General features: G+C 40.9%; 1 protein-coding gene across 62 annotated transcripts in view; it reads right to left on the reverse strand.

Moving 5' to 3' along the window:
- IMMT (inner membrane mitochondrial protein) overlaps positions 1-23,667 on the reverse strand; it is a 51,527-nt gene that overhangs the window by 9,976 nt on the left and 17,884 nt on the right. For 5 of the 62 annotated variants that reach the window (NM_001400117.1, NM_001400118.1, NM_001400110.1 and 2 more), the window contains 7 exons: positions 19,739-19,850; positions 17,297-17,401; positions 16,838-16,933; positions 12,597-12,733; positions 8,065-8,168; positions 5,625-5,760; positions 4,681-4,810 (listed from right to left, as the gene is read on the reverse strand). In NM_001400117.1, the coding sequence (NP_001387046.1) occupies positions 4,681-4,810; positions 5,625-5,760; positions 8,065-8,168; positions 12,597-12,733; positions 16,838-16,933; positions 17,297-17,401; positions 19,739-19,850 (820 nt within the window). Of the gene's footprint in view, positions 1-4,307; positions 4,811-5,624; positions 5,761-8,040; positions 8,169-12,596; positions 12,734-15,401; positions 16,934-17,296; positions 17,471-19,738; positions 19,851-23,667 lie in introns of those variants that run through there. The other 57 variants (NM_001400119.1, NM_001400137.1, NM_001400111.1 and 54 more) reach the window with 49 other exon arrangements.

The following is a 23,667-nucleotide window of genomic DNA, read 5'->3' on the forward strand; positions in this document are numbered from 1 at the left end:
GAGTGCAGTGGTACAATCTCAGGTCACCACAACCTCCACCTGCTGGGCTCAAGCAATCCTCCCACCTCAGCCTCCCAAGTAACTTGGACTAGAGGTGTATGCCACCATACCCGGCTAATTTTTGTACTTTTTTGTAGAGAAGGGGTTTTGCCATGTTGCCCAGGCTGGTCTCAAACTCCCGGGCTCAAGCGATCTGCCTTCCTCAGCCTCCCAAAGTGCTGGGATTACAGGCATGAGCCACTGCACCCAGCAACCTAAACATTTCTTTTTTTTTTTTTTGAGACAGAGTCTCGCTCTGTCGCCCAGGCTGGAGTGCAGTGGCGCAATCTCAGCTCACTGCAACCTCTGCCTCTTGGGCTCAAGGGATTCTCCTGCCTCAGCCTCCCAAGTAGCTGGGACTACATGCGCCTCCCACCACGCCTGGCTAATTTTTATATTTTTAGTAGACGGGGTTTCACTATGTTGGCCAGGCTGGTCTCAAACTCCTGACCTCAAATGATCTGCCTGCCTCGGCCTCCCAAAGTGCTGGGATTACAGGCGTGAGCCACCATGCCCAGCCTCAACTTAAGCATTTCATAGAAACTATAATTTTCTTTTATCCCTCGCATTTTCATTAGTTCATACAGTATTTTACTAAATCACAGTTTTGACTCTCTGTTCACAGTACCAGGCCTCTCTTAACATTTCAGATACTTAATACATTCAGTTCTTCTTTGAAATTTTTAAAACAATGAATTCAAACTAAATTTTCATTTAACCTGTGCAAATTAAAGAACTACAATGGCCTGATTTGAGAGTAAAGGGAAAAAATGGCATTCTGTATAGTTTGAATGATGTCCCCCACCACAATCACAAGTATCACAAGTACCCAGTGTGAACACGTGACAGGAGAAGGGGAATGCAGCCAGTCGCAGCTACTGCCTCTCAGGATGAGCTGCTGAACATCCTGGTATGAACGTCCTTTTTTTTTTTGAGACGGAGTCTCCCGTTGCCCAGGCTGGAGTGTAGCAGCACGATCTCGGCTCACTGTAACCTCCACTGCCCGGGTTCAAGTGATTCTCTTGCCTCAGCCTCCCGAGTAGCTAGGACCACAGGCGCATGCCACCATGCTCGACTGATTTTTGTATTTTTAGTAGAGATGGGGTTTCACCATATCGGCCAGGCCGGTCTTGAACGCCTAACCTCAGGCAATCCACCCACCTCAGCCTCCCAAAGTGCTAGGATTATAGGCATAAGCCACTGCACCTGGCCAGTCCTGACCTTCTTAATAACCTTTGCATTCAACAAGTCCAAAGACAGGTATTTTTCATCCAAGGGGCTCTGAACATCAACTGACTAAACATCACTCCCTCCTACACCGTCAATCTCATAAAAATAAAATTTCCTCCTTATTATGGTTATATCATTCCTCTTCTCAAAAGGCCAAAAGGGAGTCCCGTGCTGCTGATACAAATCATTTAGGCAGAGAATAGTGCTAGTGGGGGAGAATGAAATCCTGGCTCTTACCCCAACCTTGCACAAATTACTTTTCTGTCTCACTTTTTTCATCTATGTAATTGGGATAATAACCAAATTTGCCTTGTAAGGCTGTTATGAATTTCAAATAAGTTAATATATGTGAAGCACTTAGAACTCAGTGCCCGGTACAAAATAATGCTCAATACCACTAGCTATTATTGCGTTTGGAAACTTGCTCAGCTACAGATAACACAGAAAGAGTACTGGATGTAGTGAACATCATCAGGACATTTGTCGTTTAGGGAAATAATAAGAGCAATCCCAGAACTTAAAGTATAATAAAGAAATAATGACAATAAGAGCAAAATGCCTCATAACACAAACCAGTACTAACAAATTTGGTTTAGGTCTTAGTGCGTTCTGATTTCAGAGGTGAGGACATCCACGGAGGGCTAGGGTAATCATGGAATAATTACTATCTCTAGAAATACATAAGAAATCAGTAATACCGGTTGTCCCTGAGGAGGAAAACTGTGAGAGGGAAACTTCAAATGCCATTTGTACCTTTCAAATTTTGTATTGTGAATATATACTCTATTTTATAAATTAATAAAGATTTAAATGGAGGTCACTCAAAAAAGAAACAATATAGATTGCTTCACAAGGGACCTTCATTTTCTACATGGCCCTTTCTTTAGCACAGGCTTCTCAACCTTGGTGCTACTGGCCTTCTGGTCCGGACAGTTCTCTGCTGTAAGGGGGCTATTCTGTGTACTGCATGATGTTTAGCAGCACGTCTGGCCTCCACCCACTACATGCCAGTAGCTCCCTACAGTTGCGGCAAACAAAAATGTCTCCCGGTGTTGCCAAATGTCATGTGAGGGACAAAATGCCCTCAGTTGAGAACCACTGTTTAACATTTTCATGTTTTACGATAGGCAGCCGGGCGTGGTGTCTCACGCCTGTAATCCCAGCACTTTGGGAGGCCGAGGTAGATGGATAATTTGAGGTCAGGAGTTTGAGACCAGCCTGACCAACATGGTGAAACCCAGTCTCTACTAAAAATACAAAAAAATTAGCTGGGTGTGGTGGCACACGCCTGTAGTCCCAGCTACTCGGGAGGCTGTGGCAGGAGAATCGCTTGAACCCATGAGGCGGAGGTTGCAGTGAGCCAAGATTGCACCACTGCACTCCAGCCTGGGTGACACAGCAAGACTCCATCTCAAAAAAAAAAAAAAAAAAAAAGTTTTGCGATAGGCACTTTCAAAAGCAGAAAAAAAGCAAAAGTTAAAAACCTGAGAGCTGGCTTGGAAAAATTAGTAGGATTTAGTCTACTGGGAAGACCAAAGACAGAATGCAAATTCTTAGGGTTGATGCTCGTATCTAACTCTCCACAAATAAAATTTGTCCTGCCCTGTCAACCTAATTTCATTTTATTTGAGCCACTGGAGACTCCCTACTACCTACCAATGTCAAATTTATGCCAAGGAGCTTACATATATCTAATGCAAAGAGACAACAAACAAGCCAATGAATAAGAATTTCAAGAAGATAAAATAAGGTAATATGGTACAGTGGTTTGTGGAGGAATATAATCAGGGAAAGTCTCTCAGGTGCTCACATCTGTTTCAATTGTAACCTCAATGAGGCACAGACAACCCCTTGAGAAATTCTGATGAGGGAAGCAGTGCCAACGTGGCTCAAGTTTATCCTTCTCAAGGATAAATTGTCCACAATGCCTTCTTTGCTCGATGGTAGCTATCCAGTGTCTAAACAAAAGTCACTGGTCCCAGACTGAACTTTGTATTTCTCCACATTATTCTCTCTCATAAATCATACTGTCACTTTTTTATTTGACAACAATCTAACTGATATCTGCCTCCTGAGTCAACTGCATTCAAAGAGCTCAATGTCTGAGTTATCTTTTGACAGCCTTAACTCCACTTCTTGACATTCAGTCTCCCTGGGTGGCCATCATGCAGAATGATTATAAATCCCTGCACTGGTATTTATTACCTTCATTCCTTAGACCAGCTGTGGTTCTGTGATGCAACCCTGACACCTTCAGCCCAGAGAGGCCTACAACATGAGAAGTCTGCTTTCTAACAAATGCTAGCATTTAAACAGTGTTTTGAGCCAGGTGTGGTGGCTCACACCTGTAATCCCAGCATTTTGGGAGGCCAAGGTGGGCGAATCACTTGAGGTCAGGAGTTCAAAACCAGCCTGGCCAAAATGGCGAAACCCTGTCTCTACTAAAAGTACAAAAAAATTGGTTGGGCGCAGTGGCTCACACCTGTAATCCCAGCTACTCAGTAGGCTGAGGCAGGAGAATTGCTTGAACGTGGGAGGCGGAGGTTGCAGTGAGCCAAGATCGCGCCATTGCACTCCGGCCTGGGCAACAAGAGTAAAACTTTGTCTCAAAAAAAAAAAAAAAGAAAAAAAAAAAAAGGTACAAAAAATTAGCCTGGTGTGGTGTCGCATGCTTGTAATCCCAGCTATTTGGGAAGCTGAGGCAGGAGGATCGCTTCAACCCGGGAGGTGGAGGACTACACTCCAGCCTGGGCAACGACAAAAAAAATAAAAATAAAAATAAACGGTATTTTAATTTTGCTGAGACAGGTGATCTCTGTGATTCTTAGTACTCTCACAGAACTTCAGGGAAATGTGACTATAGCTACACCATGTAACGACTTCAGCATCAAAGTTCTCTGTAGTTTCAGCTTGAGGAAGTGGATAGCCAGACAGCTGGTTCCTTTCTCAATGCAGGGTCCCTAGGTAAATTCTCAACAAAGTGTTGTTTTGTCACAGAGCAGACATAAAGTGTGCTTTAAATAATTCACTACAAATACTTTTAAAGTAATAAGGTTTTTTAATACTTATACATATACAATAATATTTCAGTAGTGTCAAGGTTATAATGTCACTTTTGTTCACTCAAATTCCAAACTTTTTTTTTTTGAGTAGCAAATATCAGAACAGAACCAATCACGGATTATGGAATTAAACACTAGCTGGAACTCATGTTCACCACAGCTAAAACTACAAGAGTAGTGTTGCAGCTGTGTCATCTGTAATGACTGTGGTTAAAATAAAACGCTGTAACAAAAAGAGATATGCATGCATGCCAGAGGGATGTGGACTACAATGGAGATGAAGCAAGTTTAGATTCATTGATTAGTGGTTAAAACATCAAAAAAAAAACATTACTTCAGTTGTACTCACTCATTCCTTTCCACCCAGGAAGGACTTCTGGAGTAATACTGTCCAGCTCTCGTTTAAAGTCATCCCGAGCTTGGACCACCAGCTCATGATACTGAGATACAACCTTAGCCTCAGACTGAGCTGCTTGGACCTGAGCAAATACACAGGGTATGTGATTAAATTGAACAAAAAATACCATAAACATTCCAAGAAACAGAAGTAGTATTCCTTCATTTGTTTACATTTTGTTGGAAATGTGTAAGGAAATCTGAAGCTCAGAAATAGAATATAAGCCTTATTTGTTTCCTTCTAATTCCTATTCAAATACCATGGACAGGCCCTTTCCCATCTTACTATGCCCCCTCCCTCCATACATATCATATAAGTGCAGGCAGAAGATCTGCTACAAAATGGACATTTTCATAAGTGACAATAATCATAACCAAAAATGTTATCTATTATAGAAAGTATCAACAATATGGAACAATCCACTTGGTTGGTGTCCAAGGCAAAAAAAAAAAATTTTTTTTTTTTTGACAGGGTCTCACTCTGTCACCCAGGATAGAGTGCAGTGGCACCATCTCAGCTCACTGCAGCCTCAACCTCCCAGGCCCAAGTCATCCTCTCACCTCAGTCTCCTGAGTAGCTAGGACTACAGGCGCACACCACCACATCCACTTATTTTTGTATTTTTTGTAGAAACAGAGTTTCACCATGTTGCCCAGGCTGGTCTCAAACTCCTGGGCTCAAGTTATCTGCCCACCTCGGCCTGCCAAAGTGCTGGGATTACAGGTGTGAACCACCACACCCAGCCAAGGCAAATTTTTTAAAACAGTAACAACGAATACACTTTGCAGGAGAAAAGACGGGGAGATGGTAGGAATTTGCTGTTTTCCTAAATCCTTAAAATCCTTTAAGAGATTATATTTTAAAATATAAAATACTATAAGACTTAGGAAACATACCTTTTTGACCACATTATCCAGATCAACTATCATGTTGTGAAGTTTACCCTCTGCAGCAGTTATATGAGGCTTGGCCCCAGCAACCTCTTTTTTCTTTGCATTTTCAATCACACTTTTCATCTTCTCTAACTCTTCTCTGGAAACCAACAAAACAAAGATTTAATATAACTTCTTGTCAACTGTATTAAAAAGTTTTGATGTCAGCACAGTATATAATTGTTAAAAGTCTATGAAACAGGCTGGGAGCAGTGGCTGATACCTGTAATCCCAGCACTTTGGAGGCCAAGGCAGGAGGATCACTTGAGCCCAGGAGTTCAAGACCAGCCTGGACAACATAGGGAAACCATGCCTCTATTTTATTAAAAAAACTAAAAGAAAAGTCAATGAAAGAAATGTAATTGCTTTTTTTTTTCTTTTTTTTAAAGACTAGTCAAGTGCAATAGTAAGGGAGGAAAGACTAGAACGAGACTGTTCGATCCGTAACTGACTGTGAACAATCAACTGAGCTAACTCACTACCTTTGGACGAGCATCAATGCTTTTCTGGAGTCAATACACAGAGAGGCTTTTCTCATCAACAACTGAAAACACCTTGGTTAGAAGCTAGATTTACTAGAGTGAACCAGAGAGGTAGCATGGTATATGGAGTGACCCAGACCTCAGAGTAAGACAGCCCCAGATTCAGCTCCCATATCAGCCTCTCATTTCCTACATGCTTTCGTGTAAGGAACAGAAGTAATTCATGAGAAGTACTTAGTGCCTGGCTGAATCATGAGCACACAATAAACAGCAGCTCTTGCAAGGATCAACTTGACTCACCAACCAATGAGAGAGAGCTAAGGCAGGCAAAGGCACAGGAGAAGGCCAAAAACCTCACTGGGCGAATACTTAACTGGGTCTCAGGGAGCCCTCACGATTCAGAATGTTTCATAAGTCCGTCAGACTGTGGTCTACCCACCATAAAACACAGAACTCAAAGTGATATGAGCATAATGCCTTAAATCTCCTAAAAGATATGCTAGTTTTATCAGAAGACTTCCTTCTCTACTAATAATAAATATTTTCTTAAAAAAGACAGCAAAATTTTGAGTGACAAATAACTATTCCATACTGCTGATGAGGATCTTTAGTCAAATGTAGGTTTCCATCAACAGAGGTTGATCTTATATCTGGGCATGCTTGCTCAATCCTAGTTTTAGCCAACTTCCAGGAATCAAGGTCAACGTGGCATACCTATTACATACCCACTATTTTGGTTAAGGCAGACAGATTGTGACATACTTTCTACATTCTGATAAACTGCCCAAACTGTCCCAGTAAAATCTTAAAACTACAGCAGAATCTCAGTACATCTGTAGAGATACATCATCTAAGCAATAATCCAAAGCGAAACTGACTTTTATGTAAGATCCTTTATATGTCTGAGTGTGGTGGCTCATGCCAGTCCCAGCTACTCAGGGGGCTGAGGCAGGAGGATGGCTTGAGCCCGGGAGGTTGAGGCTATAGTGAGCCCTGATCATGCCCCTGCACTACGGCATGGGCAACAGAGCAAGACCATGAATTAAAAAAAAAAAAAAAAAATCCTTTATATAAGTTTCTGCCAAATTTATTCTGGCCTAATTTTATATATATACATTTTGAGATGGAGTCTCGCTCTGTCGCCCAGGCTCAGGCTGGAGTGCAGTGGCACAATCTCAGTTCACTGCAACCTCCACCTCCGGGGTTCAAGTGATTCTCCTACCTCAGCCTCCCGAGTCGCTGGGACTACAGGCGCATGCCACCACGCCTGGCTAACATTTTCATTTTTAGTAGAGACAGGGTCTCACCATGTTGGCCAGGATGGCTCAAACTCTTGGTCTCAAGTGATCTGCCTCCTAGGCCTCCCAAAGTACTGGGATTACAGGCGTGAGCCACTGTACTCAGCCTGGACTAATTATATTTTATTCCTTCTCTCTTTTTACACCTTTGTACAAATTCCTTTTTTTTTTTTTTTTTTTGAGACAGCGTCTCACTCTGTCGCCCAGGCTGGAGTGCAATGGCATCATCTCGGCTCACTGCAACCTCCGCCTCCTGGGTTGAGGTGATTCTCCTGCCTCAGCCTCTCGAGTAGCTGGGACTACAGGCGCCCGCCACCACGCCCAGCTAATTTTTTTGCATTTTTAATAGAGACGGGGTTTCACCATGTTGGCCAGGATGGTCTCGATCTCTTGACCTCGTGATCTGTCCGCCTCGGCCTCCCAAAGTGCTGGGATTACAGGTGTGAGCCACCGTGCCCGGCCTGTACAAATTCCTAATGCCAATTCAGAACAAGCACAGGTGGAAAAGTGAGAGAAGGGTTTCTCTACCTCCTCTTTATTCTATACAGACAATACAAAGAAAACCCGGCCCAAAGAAAGCCACCAGGAGGCCCTAATTACTTGTTAAAGTCCATGAGTAATTACTTGGCTTTGAGAAGGGCATCGGCAGCTTCATCTACTGCCTTTCTGCGTTCCTTCAATGCACCCTCCACTGTGCGCCACTGAGCAGATTTCTTCTCGCCTGCAATCTAAACAAAAAATTTTAATTATATAATAAATAACTGCTATTATTGTCATATGATAGGCCAACAAGATTGAACACAGAAACATGTGACATTAAATTCAAAGGTAAAAATTTATATGCAATGTTTCTCCAGAGTAAGAACTCTTAATTTAAGGCTTATGTTCTTAATTTAAGGCTTATGATCTGCCCACATCGGCCCCTCAAAGTGCTGGGATTACAGGCATGAGCCACTGCCCAGCCATATAAGCATTTTCTAAGGAGAGTTGTTTTTTTTTTTTTTTAAGATTCTCAAAAGGATGTACAAACCAAAATCAGAGTTTAAGGATAAATAGGAGGTTTACATATTTGTAGGGTCCTTATTCCTCCTAAATGTTACTCTAAGGAATTATTCTTCTTAATTTGTTACATATAAGTCAACTATTGTCAAAAACCTCCCTTGAGGTGACTCTTACGGTATGTGAAATGTGTATTAAAAAAAAAAAAGTTTTGGCCGGGCGCAGTGGCTCACGCCTATAATCCCAGCACTTCGGGAGGCTGAGACCAGCGGATCACGAGGTCAAGAGATCAAGACCATCCTGGCTAACATGGTGAAACCCCGTCTCTACTAAAAATACAAAAATTAGCTGGGCGTGGTGGCGGGTGCCTGTAATCCCAGCTACTCGGGAGGCTGAAGCAGGAGAATTGCTTGAATACAGGAGGCGGAGGTTGCAGTGAGCCAAAATTGCGCCACTGCACTCCAGCCTGGCGACAGAGAAAGACTACTTCTCAAAAAAAAGTTTTCCTTGAAAATCTTAGGCAGATCCAACATGTTTTTCTCCAGCTATGGAACTCATTGCCACTTTTTTGAGCAGAGCTGGCTCATATTTAGGGGATATATAATATTAGGAAGAAAACCCTCTAACACTCTAATACCACTAAGTGCAGCAAGAGTCCCACACTATGAGGGGGTGCAAGGTACCCAGAACACTCAGGGCCTAGACAGGGTGCAGTGGCTCATGCCTGTAATCCCAGCACTGTAGCAGGATCGCTTAAGCCCAGTTGTTTGAGACCAGCCTGAACAACATAGTGAGACCCCATTTCAACGAAATAAAAAAAATAGCCAGGCGTAGTGGCTCATGCCTGTGGTCCCAGCTACTTGAGGGGCTGATGTGGGAGGATCATTTGAGCCTGGGATGAGGCCACAGTGAGCTGTAATCACACCACTGCTCTCCAGCCTGGGTGACAGAGCAAGACCCTGTCTCAAAAACAAAAAATTATGTGAAATAATAAACAAGATCTAGTGGTAGAACTAATAAACACCCTATTTAGAAGTAGTGATGAGCACAGATAATATTCAAGAGATCTGCAAGTACTATAATGTGATCTGAAAACATCTGTGCTTTCTATTGGTGACATGGTCACAGTACTGCTAACATTACTGTGGTTTGTTGCCAGTATTCATAGTTGAAGAAAATGGTTTTAAATTTCAATTTGAGGCTAGGGAAAATAAAGATGTTTCCCTCCTTCAAGTTCAATGAGCCCCTGAATTCTATCTACAGACTCAACTCCAGGATAAGAGTCCATACATTTAGAAGAAATATTTGTCTTCATGTATCGCTTTTTAAATGTTCTATGTAGCCAGGTGCAGTGGCTCACAACTGTAATCCCAGCAATTTTGGAGGCTGAGGTGAGCAGATCACCTGAGGTCAGGAGTTCAAGACCAGCATGGCCAATATGGTGAAACCCTGTCTCTACTAAGATGGGTGTGGTGATGGGCGCCTGTAATCCCAGCTACTCTGGAGGCTGAGGTAGGAGAATCGCTGGAACCTGGGAAGCAGAGGTTGCAGTGAGCCGAGATCACGCTATTGCACTCCAGCCTGGGCAACAAAGCAAGACTCCATCTCCAAAAAAAAAGAATGTTCTATGTAAAATTTTGCAAAGTATATCTTATGATGCGAAAAATAAAGTTGATGTTTCAGTGAATTCCCACTTTAGTCATTTTTTTTTTTTTTTTTTTTTTGAGATGGAGTTTCATTCTTGTTGCCCAGGCTGGAGTGCAATGGCTCGATCTTGGCTCACCACAACCTCCACCTCCCAGGTTCAAGCGATTCTCCTGCGTCAGTCTCCCGAGTAGCTGGGATTACAGGCATGGGCCACCATGCCCAGCTAATTTTATATTTTTAGTAGAAACGGGGTTTCTCCATGTTGGTCAGGCTGGTCTCGAACTCCTGACCTCAAATGATCCACCAGCCTCAGCCTCCCACAGTGCTGGGATTACAGGTATGAGCCACCACGCCTGGACCGCTTTAGTCATCTTGAAAATAAAATACATCAAGAATGTATACTGATTTGGGGCCAGGCATGGTGGCTTACGCCTATAATCCCAGCACTTTTGGGAGGTGGAGGCAGGTAGATCACTTGAGGTCATGAGTTCGAGACCAGCCTGGCCAACATAGTGAAACCCTCTCTGTACGAAAAATACAAAAATTAGCCAGGTGTGGTGGTGGGCACCTGTAATTTCAGCTACTTGAGAGGCTAAGGCAGGAGAATTGCTTGAACCTGGGAGGCAGAGGTTGCAGTGAGCAGAGATCACGCCACTGCACTACAGCCTGGTGACAGAGCAAGACTCTGTCTCAAAAAAAAAAAAAAAGGAATGGATGCTGAGTTGGGCCACATGAACTGACCCAAATAGAATTACAAAGCATGTAAATGTCAATGACATATCTGGGGGCCAAAATTTATCACCCTTGTTGAAGGTACTCCTGCTTACAGAAGTCCAAGGAAAACCTACCCTGTAACAGACACAGATTCCCCTACAACCAAACTAAATCCTAGTATTACCAAATCCAACTCTTCACAAACACTGCTTTGTGAAAGTTATTCAGTATATATTAGAAATTACATGTGCACCTGTAGCTTCTTGTACTAGAAAAAACAAAAGCTGGAATTCATTCTTAACATTCCAAAATGTGTTCATACATTTTTCCAATTATTTTGTACATTAGCTAATACTCTCATCTGTTAACTGCTACCATTAGATTGTAAAATCTTGACTGCAATAGATTTTACACTGTCTAATCACCATGTGCTACACATTATGTGCGTTAGGAAGATGAAATACCACCTTGTGTACCCTTATACCCAAGTAGTAACATGGCATTTAAAGCTTCCAATCCGTGTCCTTCTGAGGGATACTGGTCTACTTGGGTTTGAACCCAACACCCTTACATCACGCAACTTCTAGCCTTCCCATATCGGTAACCAGCAAATTAAATTTCCTGGGTGGTTTCCACTTTGCTGACTGAACTCTGATATTTAAGTATTTTTCTTGGACTTTGAATAAAATGGAATTTTCCTTAAAATTTCAAAGGTTGTAGTTTCTTGCTACTAACATCAGAGGTCTAATTAAACTCTTTTGTAATATAAGTACATACGACTGAAACAATGTAAAGTGTGTGTAAAATTTTTTTTAAAACTACAATTATGATGGCAAAGTAACTTTACTGACCATGTATGATCCTGATCCTTAAGATTAATAATTTATGCATTTTACTTTAATTTACTCCTTAAATGACTTGGAATAGAGATACATTTATACATACTGAATAACTTAATGTAATTATAAAATAATGTATTAAGTCCCAGTATTAAATTTTGAAAAATCAATGTTATTACTTCATTCTTTGAAGTGTTTCGCATAAATAATCATAAACATTTAAAATAGCAGGTGTTTCAGGGAACATGAGAGCTCTCTGTATTATTTCTTAAAACTGCATGTGAAGTTTGAGAAGTATCTTAAAAAGTTTACCTATGGAAATAGCAATTTTAAAGCAAACAACAAAAATATTTAAGTGCTATTAAAATATGAAAGCAAATCTGAACTAATTCTTGCGCTGCATCGGTGTTGTAAGATATAGTAAAGCACAATGTATAAAATTCATTCTAAAAAACTTAAAGGCTTTTTTCAGTTTGTTTTTTAAACATAATTACTCTAAGGCCAAGCACAGTGGCTCACGCCTGTAATCCCAACATTTTGGGAGGCCGAGGCAGGCAAATCACTTGAGGTCAAGAGTTCCAGTCCAGCCTGGCCAAAATGGCAAACCCTGTCTCTACTAAAAGTACAAAAATTAGCCGGGTATGGTGGCGGGAGCCTGTAATCCCAGCTACTCGGGAGGCTGAGGCAGGAGAATCGCTTGAACCTGGGAGGTGGAGGTTGCAATGAGCCGAGATCGCACCACTGGACTCCAGCCCGGGCGACAGAGCAAGACTCCGTCTCAAAACAATAACAAAAAAAGATTAATTATTCCAGACTATCTTCCCCTAGTGAGAGAAAGCCGATATCATACGGAAGAAAGCAGTCTGTTAAATATTACACTTCTCTCCACCCTCGATTTTTCTTTTTGTCCTCCAAGTCATGACAGCCAGAACACTTCTAATCATTCATTGGGCTCACCTCAGAATTGTCCATGGCGGCTTTCAATATGTTGGAGTGTGCATTGACAGCCTGGACCGCAGCATTCTGAGCTGCAATAGCCTGCAGAGTGACACTTGCAGTTTGCCTCAGAGCATCTTCTAAGCTCTTGGCTAGAGCTTAAAAAAAAAAAAGAACAGTTAAAAAACAAATCCTACCCCCATAAATGACTTTAAACTTTTGCTGTTCTCCTATCTAGTCTTCCATTGCATTTCCCAAAAAATTTAAAAAGGAACAAAATACATGAGACTCAAATTTAGGGAATCAAAGTTTCACTTAAAAGTATGGTAAAGGCCGGGCGCAGTGGCTCATGCCTGTAATCCCAGCACTTTGGGAGGCCGAGGCGGGCGTATCACAAGGTCAGGAGTTTGAGACCAACCTGACCAATGTGGTGAAACCCCGTCTCTACTAAAAATACAAAAATTAGCCAGGCATGGTGGCGGGTGCCTGTAGTTCCAGCTACCTGGGAGGCTGAGGCAGGAGAATCGCTTGAACCTGGGAGGTGGAGCTTGCAGTGAGCCGAGATCATGCCACTGCACTCTAGCCTGGGCGACAGAGCGAGACTCTCTCAAAAAAAAAAAAGAAAACATGGTAAAATACTGATAATTTAGTCTGGATGATAAATCTATGAAGCTTTATTACACTTCTTTTTTTTTTTTTTTTTGAGACAGAGTCTCGCTCTGTCGCCCAGGCTGGAGTGCAGTGGCGCGATCTCGGCTCACTGCAAGCTCCGCCTCCCGGGTTCACGCCATTCTCCTACCTCAGCCTCCCGAGTAGCTGGGACTACAGGTGCATACCACCACGCCCAGCTAATTTTTTTGTATTTCTTAGTAGAGACGGGGTTTCACCATGTTAGCCAGGATAGTCTCCATCTACTGACCCCATGATCCGCCCACCCTGGACTCCCAAAGTGCTGGGATTACAGGCGTGAGCCACCGTGCCCGGTTTTTTGTTTTTTGTTTTTTTTTTTTTTTTTGGAGACGGAGTCCCACTCTATCGCCCAGGCTAGAGTGCAGTGGCACCGTCTCAGTTCACTGCAACCTCCGCCTCCTGGGTTCAGGCGATTCTCCTGCCTCAGCCTCCTGAGTAGCTGGGACTACAGGTGCCTGCCACCACGCTCAGCTAATATTTTGTATTTTTAGCAGACAGGGTTTCACCGTGTTAGCCAGGATGGTCTCGATCTCCTGACCTCGTGATCCATCCACCTCAGCCTCTCAAAGTGCTGGGATTACAGGCGTGAGCCACCGTGCCCAGCCTACTTTTTCTTTTCTGTATATCTAAACTTTTTCAAAATAAAAAGTGTTTTTTTTTTTCAAAATTATTTAAAGAAGGGTAATGTATTTCAAATGGGAGAAACAAGGTTTAGGACACTATAGCCCCTTTTACATATTGTGGCTATAAACTCAACAAATCCATCAGCTTTCTTCATTTTAAACAACAATCGTAACAGGGAAAAAGAGGTGCCCATTTCATCCCCTTGGCAAGAAGGAATACTCATAGCAAAACACTTATGTTGACAAGATACAAGAAAACAGACAAGAGAAAGAAAAAGACAAATAAGAAAACAGGTCAAAAAATACAAAACAAAACCCAAAGGCAACTTGAAATGGACAGTGTTCTTCCATAAAAGGACTCAAGAAATAGCAGACACCAATGTTCAAGAGGCTTCCATCTATTAAGATCACATTTCTATATGCTGTTTCGGGAATACCAAAAAGTAAAGCAAATGACAATTTTAGATAATTTACTAAAATGCAAAAATAAATGGTCATTTGAAGAAAGGCGGCTAGTAAGAATACTAATTTAATAATAAATGGGCCGGCGCAGTGGCTCACGCCTGTAATCCCAGCACTTTGGGAGGCCGAGGCAGGTGTATCACCTGAGGTCAGGAGTTCGAGACCAGGCTGGCCAACATTGTGAAACCCCGTCTCTACTAAAAATACAAAAATTATCCAGACATGGTGGTGGGTGCCTATAGTCCCAGCTACTCAGGAGGCTGAGGCAGGAAAATCGCTTGAACCTGGGAGTTGGAGGTTGTAGTGAGCCGATATTGCACCACTGCACTCCAGCCTAGGTGACAGAGTGAGACTCTGTCTCAAAACAAATTAATTAAATAAATGATATCACATGACAAAAAATAAAAAATGTATTTGACAAGCGAGAAAAAAAGATGATTTTGAGGAAAAGAAGCATAAACTAGCAATGAACAAATGGAATCTGAGGAACTACAAATGGTACCTCTGCAAGAAAGATAAGAGGAAAACTAATAAGGAGAAAATAAAAAGAAATTGACAGAAGTGATAGAAGTGAAATGAGAGCAGGGGATACAACAAGAGAAAGGGGCAAGGGAGAGAAACCGTGGTATTTGGATCCCATGACATGCGTGAGTGAACAGTGGACATCAAGTACAGGCAGTTGTGAACCACTTTATGGAGGCCACAGAAAGTGGGCTGCTGGGAGGCACCTGCTGCTTCCAGCCCTCTTCAGAGGTTTAGTCACTGTCCTTTGATCCTTGATAAATATTTCACATGCAAATGCATATGTGTATATTTTTAAAGTCAAGTTTGAGGGGGAATTAAGAGGTGACAGATAAAATTCTGAAAATTTTCACTTTGCCCAAAATGAAAGATGAGAGGAACCAGGCAAGGAAAAGAACAGCTGGAACAGCAGACATCTCCATCTTACGTTTATAACTTAATTTCAAGGTGCCCAAGTGATAAAGAGAGAAAAGTGAAAAGTGAAGAAAAAACAGGACTAAAAGAAAAAAGAAGTAGGAAAAATGAAATATTTCACTTAGTTAGAAGTCATTTATTAAATATTCACAAATATTTGTAACACAATCAGAAGAATACAAAAAATCAAAAACGAAAATCCAAATCCAAGTAGGAAAACTAATGCCATAGGCACAGAATGACACCTATGCTATTCTAAGAAACTTGGTTCCTCAGGGTAGGGCAGAACCAGCACATTACAAGGGAAACAGGAGCAAAACAAATGACAAGGAGATCAAAAAACTATAAACAGCTGCCATGAGTACTGAACTCTCTGTCCAGCAAAAAGCTACATCCCACGACCTCCAGAGACATCAACATATTATAGCACAGTACAAAAAATTATGTTACATGTGCTTTAAGACAGAAAAATAAATTGATAAATATCTATTATCTTTTTTAAACCATCAAAAAATTTAAGAATCCTGACCTACCGAGGACAGCAAAAATAATAATAATGATAAAAAAAACTTGGCCAGGTGTGGTAGCTCATGCCTGTAATCCCAGCACTTTGGGAGGCCAAGGTGGGAGGATTTCTTGAGGCCAAGAGTCCAACACTACCCTGACCAACACAGTAAGAGCCCATCTCTTAAAAACAAACAAACAAAAAAACCATAAAACTGAAACTTAAAAAGGAATATGCTTGTTAGCTGGAAACCAGCGATGTGTAGAACATTCCATGCCCCACCAGTGTCAGATAAAAGCACTACTAGAGAGTCCAGAGGCTAGATGATAAGGCAGTGTAAGCCATTCTGACTCCAACAAATAAATTTACAATTATTAATAAACAATTATTTACAAGTATAAATTAACAATTATTAATAAAAGACTCTTAGGGCTGGGTACAAGGGCTCAGGCCTGTAATCCCAGCACTTTGGGAGTTCAAGGTGGGAGGATCACTTGAGCCCAGGAGTACGAGACCAGTCTAGGCAACATAGTGAGATGCCTGTGTCTATAAAAAATTTTTAAAAAATTAGCTGGGTATGGTGGTACACGCCTGTAGTCCCAGCTACAGAGGAGGCTGAGGTGGGAGGATGGCTTTGGCCTGGGAGGTTGAGGCTGCAGTGAGCCATGACAGTGCCACCGCACTCCAGTCTGGGTGACAGAAAAGAGCCTATCTCAAAAAAATAAATAAAGGACTTTTAGGCAAGCTGCTAAAACATAAATAATCAATTTCTGTTTCCCAGAGTATAAAGAATCTTTAGCGCTAACATAATCTTTAGTATTATTTGGAGTTTTCACCAACTATACACTAAGAATAGCCTTTGTCACTTAGGTAAAAGAAGTTTAGATGAAATGAAGGTGATGAATAAAGCAATGCCACTAAAAAACAACCGCAGCAACAAAAGAAACCACAACTAGGTGATAGATGACAAACTTGTGCTGATAGTTTAAGAAGAGAGCAACTGGGAGATGACCCAAAATCCTTAAGAAGCTGTCTGGTTTACATACACTCAATTTTAACTTGTTCTTGTTTTTCCTGTTGTGCAAGGCGAGCTGCAACTTCTTCAGGTGGTCGCTCCCTTATAGAAGATGAGGATGCTTCTTCTTGCAGCAAAAGTAAATAAGAGGAAATCAAATTTCAGCATAGAATTTTAATAGCTAACAGGGATATAAAAAAAGCATCGTTTGTACTGGCCAGTTATATCAATGCAGGGCATTTTTGTGTTAAGAATTCTAAAACCATATCATTACTCTTAATGATTCCAAAATGAAGAAATAGGAATCAGGCTTTAATCTTCTTGTTTAAAAAGATACATTCGGACATTTAAATTTTAAAAATTTCCTAAGAAACTCTGAAGACCTAAACCTAGTGTAAATGTATACTTAGTGTCTACGTGTTGCCTAGGCATTAAATAGTTCTGATGAGTGTATCATGTATAAAAGAACAAATAGAAATAATTAAATTACCTGAAAGTGCAGGTGTGGGTTTTCCTTCACCAATTTCAGGGTGATCAGTTTTTAAAGATTCCTCAGGCTGAACTGCAGGGGCTGGGACCGACAGGGTATCACCTGCTGCAGAAATAATTTGAGCCGCTTCTGTAGGTGCTATAAATATATGTTACTCATGGTATTTATACTTTCCTGGGTTAACAGAGAAACACACAGAAATTTACTACCACCATCACCACCCACTTCACATCTGACTCCTTAGAGACACAAATATTTGTACTGCCACATGTTTGAATAACACACAAACAGGGGCACTGTCCACTGCATACATAAACTCACACAAAATGGACAATGGTTGGGAACGAACAAAAGAAAGAAGTCTTGTCTGCATCCACCTGCATTTTAACCATCATTATTCCAGGCAAGGCTTATAATAATAATATTAACACACAAGAAGGGGACATTTACACATGGAAAAAGAGTAACAAAGGAAAAAGCCTGTTAATGATGAAGACAGACAAAAGAAAGCAACTAAACAAAGAATATTTTTTAATTGCTTTGAAGAGTGGTAGAAGACGTGTGAGCAGGAAAAAGATTACAGTTTTAAACAAAAAGATGAAAGGTCACAGTGATCAAGAACAGAACTGAGTTAAAATACATATATATATATATATTTTTTGCACACTTTGGGAGGCCAAGACCAACCTGGCCAACACAGCAAGATCCCATCTCTATCAATCACTCAATCAATTTTTTGTGTGTGTAGTATATTTTTTTTTTTTTTTTTTTTTTTTGAGACAAGGTCTCACTCTGTTGCCCAGGCTGGAGAATAGTGGCACTATCATGGCTCACTGCAACCTCGACCTCCCAGGAACAAGCAATACTCCCACCTCAGCCTCTGGCACACAGCTGGGACTATACGTGTATACCACCACACCTGGCTGATTTTTACATTTTTTTGTAGAGACAGGGTCTCCCCTCTCTTGCCCAGGCTGGTCTCAAACTGCTAGGCTCAAGTGATCCTCCCTCCTCGGCCTCCCAAAGTGCTGGGATTACAGGTGTGAGCCACTGTGCCCGGCCTTGGTTTTAAAGTAACAGTCAATTATCAATCCCCTGGCTCAGCATTCTCTTCCCATCCCACCCAGCATATGAAACAATGTTTTTTTTTGTTTGAGACAGAGTCTTGCCCTGTCACCCAGGCTGGAGTGTAGGGGTGCAATCATAGCTCACTGCAGCCTCAACCTCCTGGGCTCAAGTGGTCCTCCCTCCCGAGTGCTGGGACTGCAGGCATGCACCGCCATCCCCAGCTAATTTTTAATTTTTTATAGAAACAGGATCTTGCTAAGTTGCCCAGGCTACTTTCAAACTCCTGGGCTTAGGTGATCCTCCCGCCTTGGTTTCCCAAAGTGCGGGATTACAGGCATGAGCCCATGCACCTGGCCTAAAATAAAATTCTTACAATGGCTTCCAAGGACTGCCACAATAAACTTTTTGCTCCCTCTCTGACCTCATTTGCTCCTGTTCTCCCCTTACTCAATTCACTCTAGCCTCATTTGCCCTTTGTTTGAATATATCAAGCCTCTACACCAGCTAATCCTGCTGCCTGGGATGCTTTTCCCCACCACCCTTTTACATGACTTACCCCCCTTATCTCTTTCTAATCTTTGCTCAGATAACCCCTTCCAGGTAAGGTATTCCTTACACATTCCATTTAAAACTGCAGTATTCCCTCCCACAATGTCTGACATCCTATACGTTTTACTTGTTTATTTCCTCTCCGCACCCAATCAAGAAATATTAGCTGAAAAAATTTTTTAACTGTTTTTGTTCATGGCTGTTTCCCCAGTACTTACAAGAATGTCTAGCACAGAAAAGACAGTAAATTTCTGCTGAATTAAAGAAAGTCAGGTGATTTAATCAAGGACAGACACAACAAAGGAGAAACATAAGAAGTTCAAATGTATACTGAACAGGTTAGAGTTCAACAGGCAAGTGCTGTAAATTAGGGTGGGGTGACTGGTAGTTTCTGAAGTCAAAAAATATCTGCAGGGACTAGAGCAAGACACTTTCATCACTAAGAAAGAAGAGAGGATAAAGAATTGGTGAAGAGGCCGGGCATGGTGGCTCACGCCTGTAATCCCAGCACTTTGGGAGGCCGAGGCGGGCAGATCACCTGAGAGCGGGAGTTTGAGACCAGCCTGACCAACATGGAGAAACTCCGCCTCTACTAAAAATAGAAAATTAGCTGGGCGTGCTGGCACATGCCTGTAATCCCAGCTACTCAGGAGTCTGAGGCAGGAGAATCGCTTGAACCTGGGAGGTGGAGGCTGCGGTGAGCCGAGATTGTGCCACTGCACTCCAGCCTAGGCAACAAGAGCGAAACTCCATCTCAAAAAAAAAAAAAGAATTGGTGAAGAGATTTACCTATAATTTTAAAAAGATGGTTCAAAATATAAGTACCTGTTGCTGAAGCTGGAGTATCTCCCTTTTGTTTTTGGAGTTGTGAGGCAGGCTGTTTAGATTCTTTCATTACTTCTGATACACTAGAGATTTTTAGTGGACCCGACTGAATCTTGGAAATAAAAAACATTTAACATTTCAGATATACTACTGTTTTTTAAAAAGGTACAGTGATTTGCAGTATTTCAAATGCCAAGTCTTTCAGGCTTTTAACATAAAGTTATCAACACTTTGTAACATATGTATTTTATTAAACATAGTTGAGAGAAACCACCATTACTAGAAAAGTGCAGTTCAAAAATTTCATTCCAAATGACCAGCCCATATTTTAATAGTAACAAAGGTTTCTATTAGGGTGACCAATAAAGTCCATGACATATGATCTTCTCATTAAACACCATTGCTTGTACTTACACAGTATTAAGAAGACTATTATCATTTCCTTTCTAAATCAAACTATGATGTCTTCTGTATACATTCAGTTAGAAGCAAATGATTATTAAAGGCTCTGAGTGAAAATACAAATGAATTTTGTTTCTTTGATCTCCAGGATTCATGCAATTGCACAGTAAGATATATGATCAATTTGTAAGCAAGGCTTGCCTTCCCCTTTCCCAATTATTGCCTGCTCTAAGTTTAAGACACTATTCATTTAAGAGGGCTGCCAGATATGTGCCAGAGAAAATTACTTTTATTTTTATTTCCACTTATGTTATTCCACTTTTTGCCCTAACTTGGCAGTAGGACTCAGATATCCCTAACATGACTACTTAAACACAACAGGGTGGTTCTGAACTTAGTCACTACCAGAAACCAGAATTATTTCCATTTTCATTAAAATATTATTTTTGAATGATGAAGACTGTTTACTGTAACAAGCAAAATAATGCCAAGATATATCAGTGGCTTTAACTTGCCTCTTCACTGCTCCTTTCCCTTTCCACTCTCTTAGGTAGCCACTGCTAATAGCCTGGAATCTATCCTTCTACTCCTGAGCAAAAGCTCTCGTATATACACATAAACAATGTTTCACTTCCTTAAACAAACCAAAATAGGGTTATATTATACAAATTACCTTGTAACTTGCTCTTTTTTTATTTAACACTATATCATGGACATTCTCTTTCAGGTCAAGAAATTCTGTTTAGTTGCATAATATCCTCATATAACGATTTCCCATAATTTGGTCAACTTCTCCTCTATAGTCATTCAAATTGTTTCCTGTTTTGTTTTGCTTTGCTGCTACAAACAAAGCAATGAACATCCATCCCTGTCCATTTAAATGAAAAGCACCGTAGTGTAATATCTATGGGATAGTTTTCAGAAGAGGAATTGTTGGGTCAAAGGGGTTGTATATTTTTAACAGATGTTAACAGATCACTTTCACTTAAGGTTCTAGTGATTCACATTCTCATAATTAAAGTTTGTGTGTGATCTATTTCCAAATTCAGTTGTTTTATTCCTCTAATTTCTTTTCCTGTGTCCCAACCTTATTTTATTAAAGTAGCAGTATAAAAAAGTCTATCTAGAAAAGCACCCCTCCTCATCCCTTTTTCAAAATGTTCTTGAGTAGTCTTGTACATCATTAATTCCTCCATATAAATGTTAAAACTGTATTATCTGGTTCCTCACCATCTAGAAAAATTCATTCAAATTCTTACTAGATTTGTGTATATAGACACATCATAAAAACATCATTTCTCTCTAATATATACATATACATTTCTCTCAAATATATATATATGTATGTCATATATATTTGGTACTATCTTAATGTAATTTGGTACTATCTTAATATATATTTGGTACTATCTTGGTACTATCTTTAATGACATACATATATATTTGAGAGAAATGACATTTTTATGATATGAAGTTCTATCCAGGAATGTAACAGTTGTAACCATTTAGGCAGGTGTTATTCCATGTCCATCAAAAAGATTTTATGCATGGACAGTAAATATAGAGACAATGTTATAACAAATCATGTTGCCACTAAAAAGGTTACTATGAAATAAAATGCACAGCAACAAGTTGACACGATGTTTAACAGTAGAGAGTGCTTGAGTAAATGGTAAAAAAAAAAAAAATAGAAACACTAACTGCTATTGTAATTCAGAGGTGAGAAAATTAACTTAGATCTGTACAGTGAAGGATGCAGCCCCTGAAGAGAACATTAATAAGCGAAGGAAAGGAAGTCATTCTGGGTAGGAGACCATCCTGAAAAAAAGCTGTACAAATGGAAGGGATCTTAGATGAGTTCTATCTTTAAGCATGGCCCTTGGAACAGTGCCTGCAGCATAATAATCATTTGATTAACATTGGTTGAATAAATGAATAAATGGAAAGCAAAGACATATTTGTAATGAAGGGCAACTGGTGTACAGCTAAGGGCTTATGTGCAGGACCCAGAGATAAGGCTGCAAAGGTAAACAAGTGCCAGATTGCCAAGGGTATTGAATGTCAACTTAAAAGCTAGCAAAGACCACAAACTACAGAAATAAAGGAGCCCAATGGCCAGTTCCTAGGCTGACATTTAAGCACTCCTGGCTTCATACTTATTCAGAAGGTAAGAAAGATTTCTCTAGTTTTTACATCCTGTGGTCTTCCATCTTTTAAACAATACAAAATATCTGGAAGTACATTAATAGGTGTTATCATGAAAATATCATAGCACTTCTTTTAGAAGATTCTCTGGTATTAATATAAGGATGACCCAGATTCTGTTAGGAGGAGAGATCTAGGTGGGTAGAGACTGGGAGGAAGATGGGAAAGACTGTGTGCGCATGGAGAGCAACAGGCCTAGTTCAGGAGACAATTTGGATATGAAGTGATAAAGGTCAGAATAGGGGTACGGATAGTGGTAATGCAAGAAGATTAAACAAGATAGGATAGCTAACAAAATATGAGCAACCTGTGAAGAATCTACGAATTCTGGCCTAGCTACACCTGACAACTTGGTACTATCTTTAATCCAAAAAAGCAAATAAGGAGCAGTGTAAGTGTGGAGGTGGTTTAGTACAAACATGCTGAGTTATTAACTAGAAATGTTCTCCAAGGTAGCTAAAGTGGAGTGAGGAGAGGCCAAGGCTATTTGGAGAGATAAAGGATTCATCTACAAAGAATGAAATCTGAAGTCACATCAACTGAGAAAAGAACACTTCTCTGAATTTTTCAACCTTACTCCATGCTCCTAGAACAGCTTCCAGCTATTTTTTCCTGGGTCATGCAGCTTAAAATAGATTCAAGATTTTAGAATAAATCCACAGGGTTCTGCTCCTTGACTTATGAAGCTGCAAAATTATCTCCCTCAGCCAATATGGACATTTTAAAGTCCATAGGGAAGAATAAATGATGTAGAAGACTAGTCAAAAACATTGTGAAAAAGTATGGTTGGGGTGGGTTACAGGGAGGAAGTTGGATGACATTTATTTTTCCAAACGTTAACTTTTGCTATAGGATGGGTCTCTAGATCATGTTAGATACTGGACAGTAAGTCCACCCAGTTTCTAAGAATAAACTGATCAGCTATGTCCAGCCTCCTAGCGTAAAGAAATGCCCAATACCAAAGAGCCAAAAATCCATGCTCTTTTACAGACTTTTTTTTTTTTTTACAAGAAGCTGTGTGTGAATGAAGAAACATTTAAGATTAGAGTTTAAAAATTTTTTTAGGCTGGGCGCAGTGGCTCACGCCTGTAATCCCAGCACTTTGGGAGGCTGAGGTGGGCGGATCACCTGAGGTCAGGAGTTTAAGACCAGCCTGGCCAACATGGTGAAACCCCATCTCTACTAAAAAATGCAAAAATTAGCTAGGCATGGTGGTGCACGCCTGTAGTCCCAGCTACTTGGGAGGCTGAAGCAGAATTGCCAGAACCCAGGAGGCAGAAGTTGCAGTGATCCGAGATCGCGCCACTGCAGTCCAGCCTGGG

This window comes from Homo sapiens, chromosome 2 (assembly GCF_000001405.40).
Source record: "Homo sapiens chromosome 2, GRCh38.p14 Primary Assembly".
NCBI classification, from domain to species: domain Eukaryota; kingdom Metazoa; phylum Chordata; class Mammalia; order Primates; family Hominidae; genus Homo; species Homo sapiens.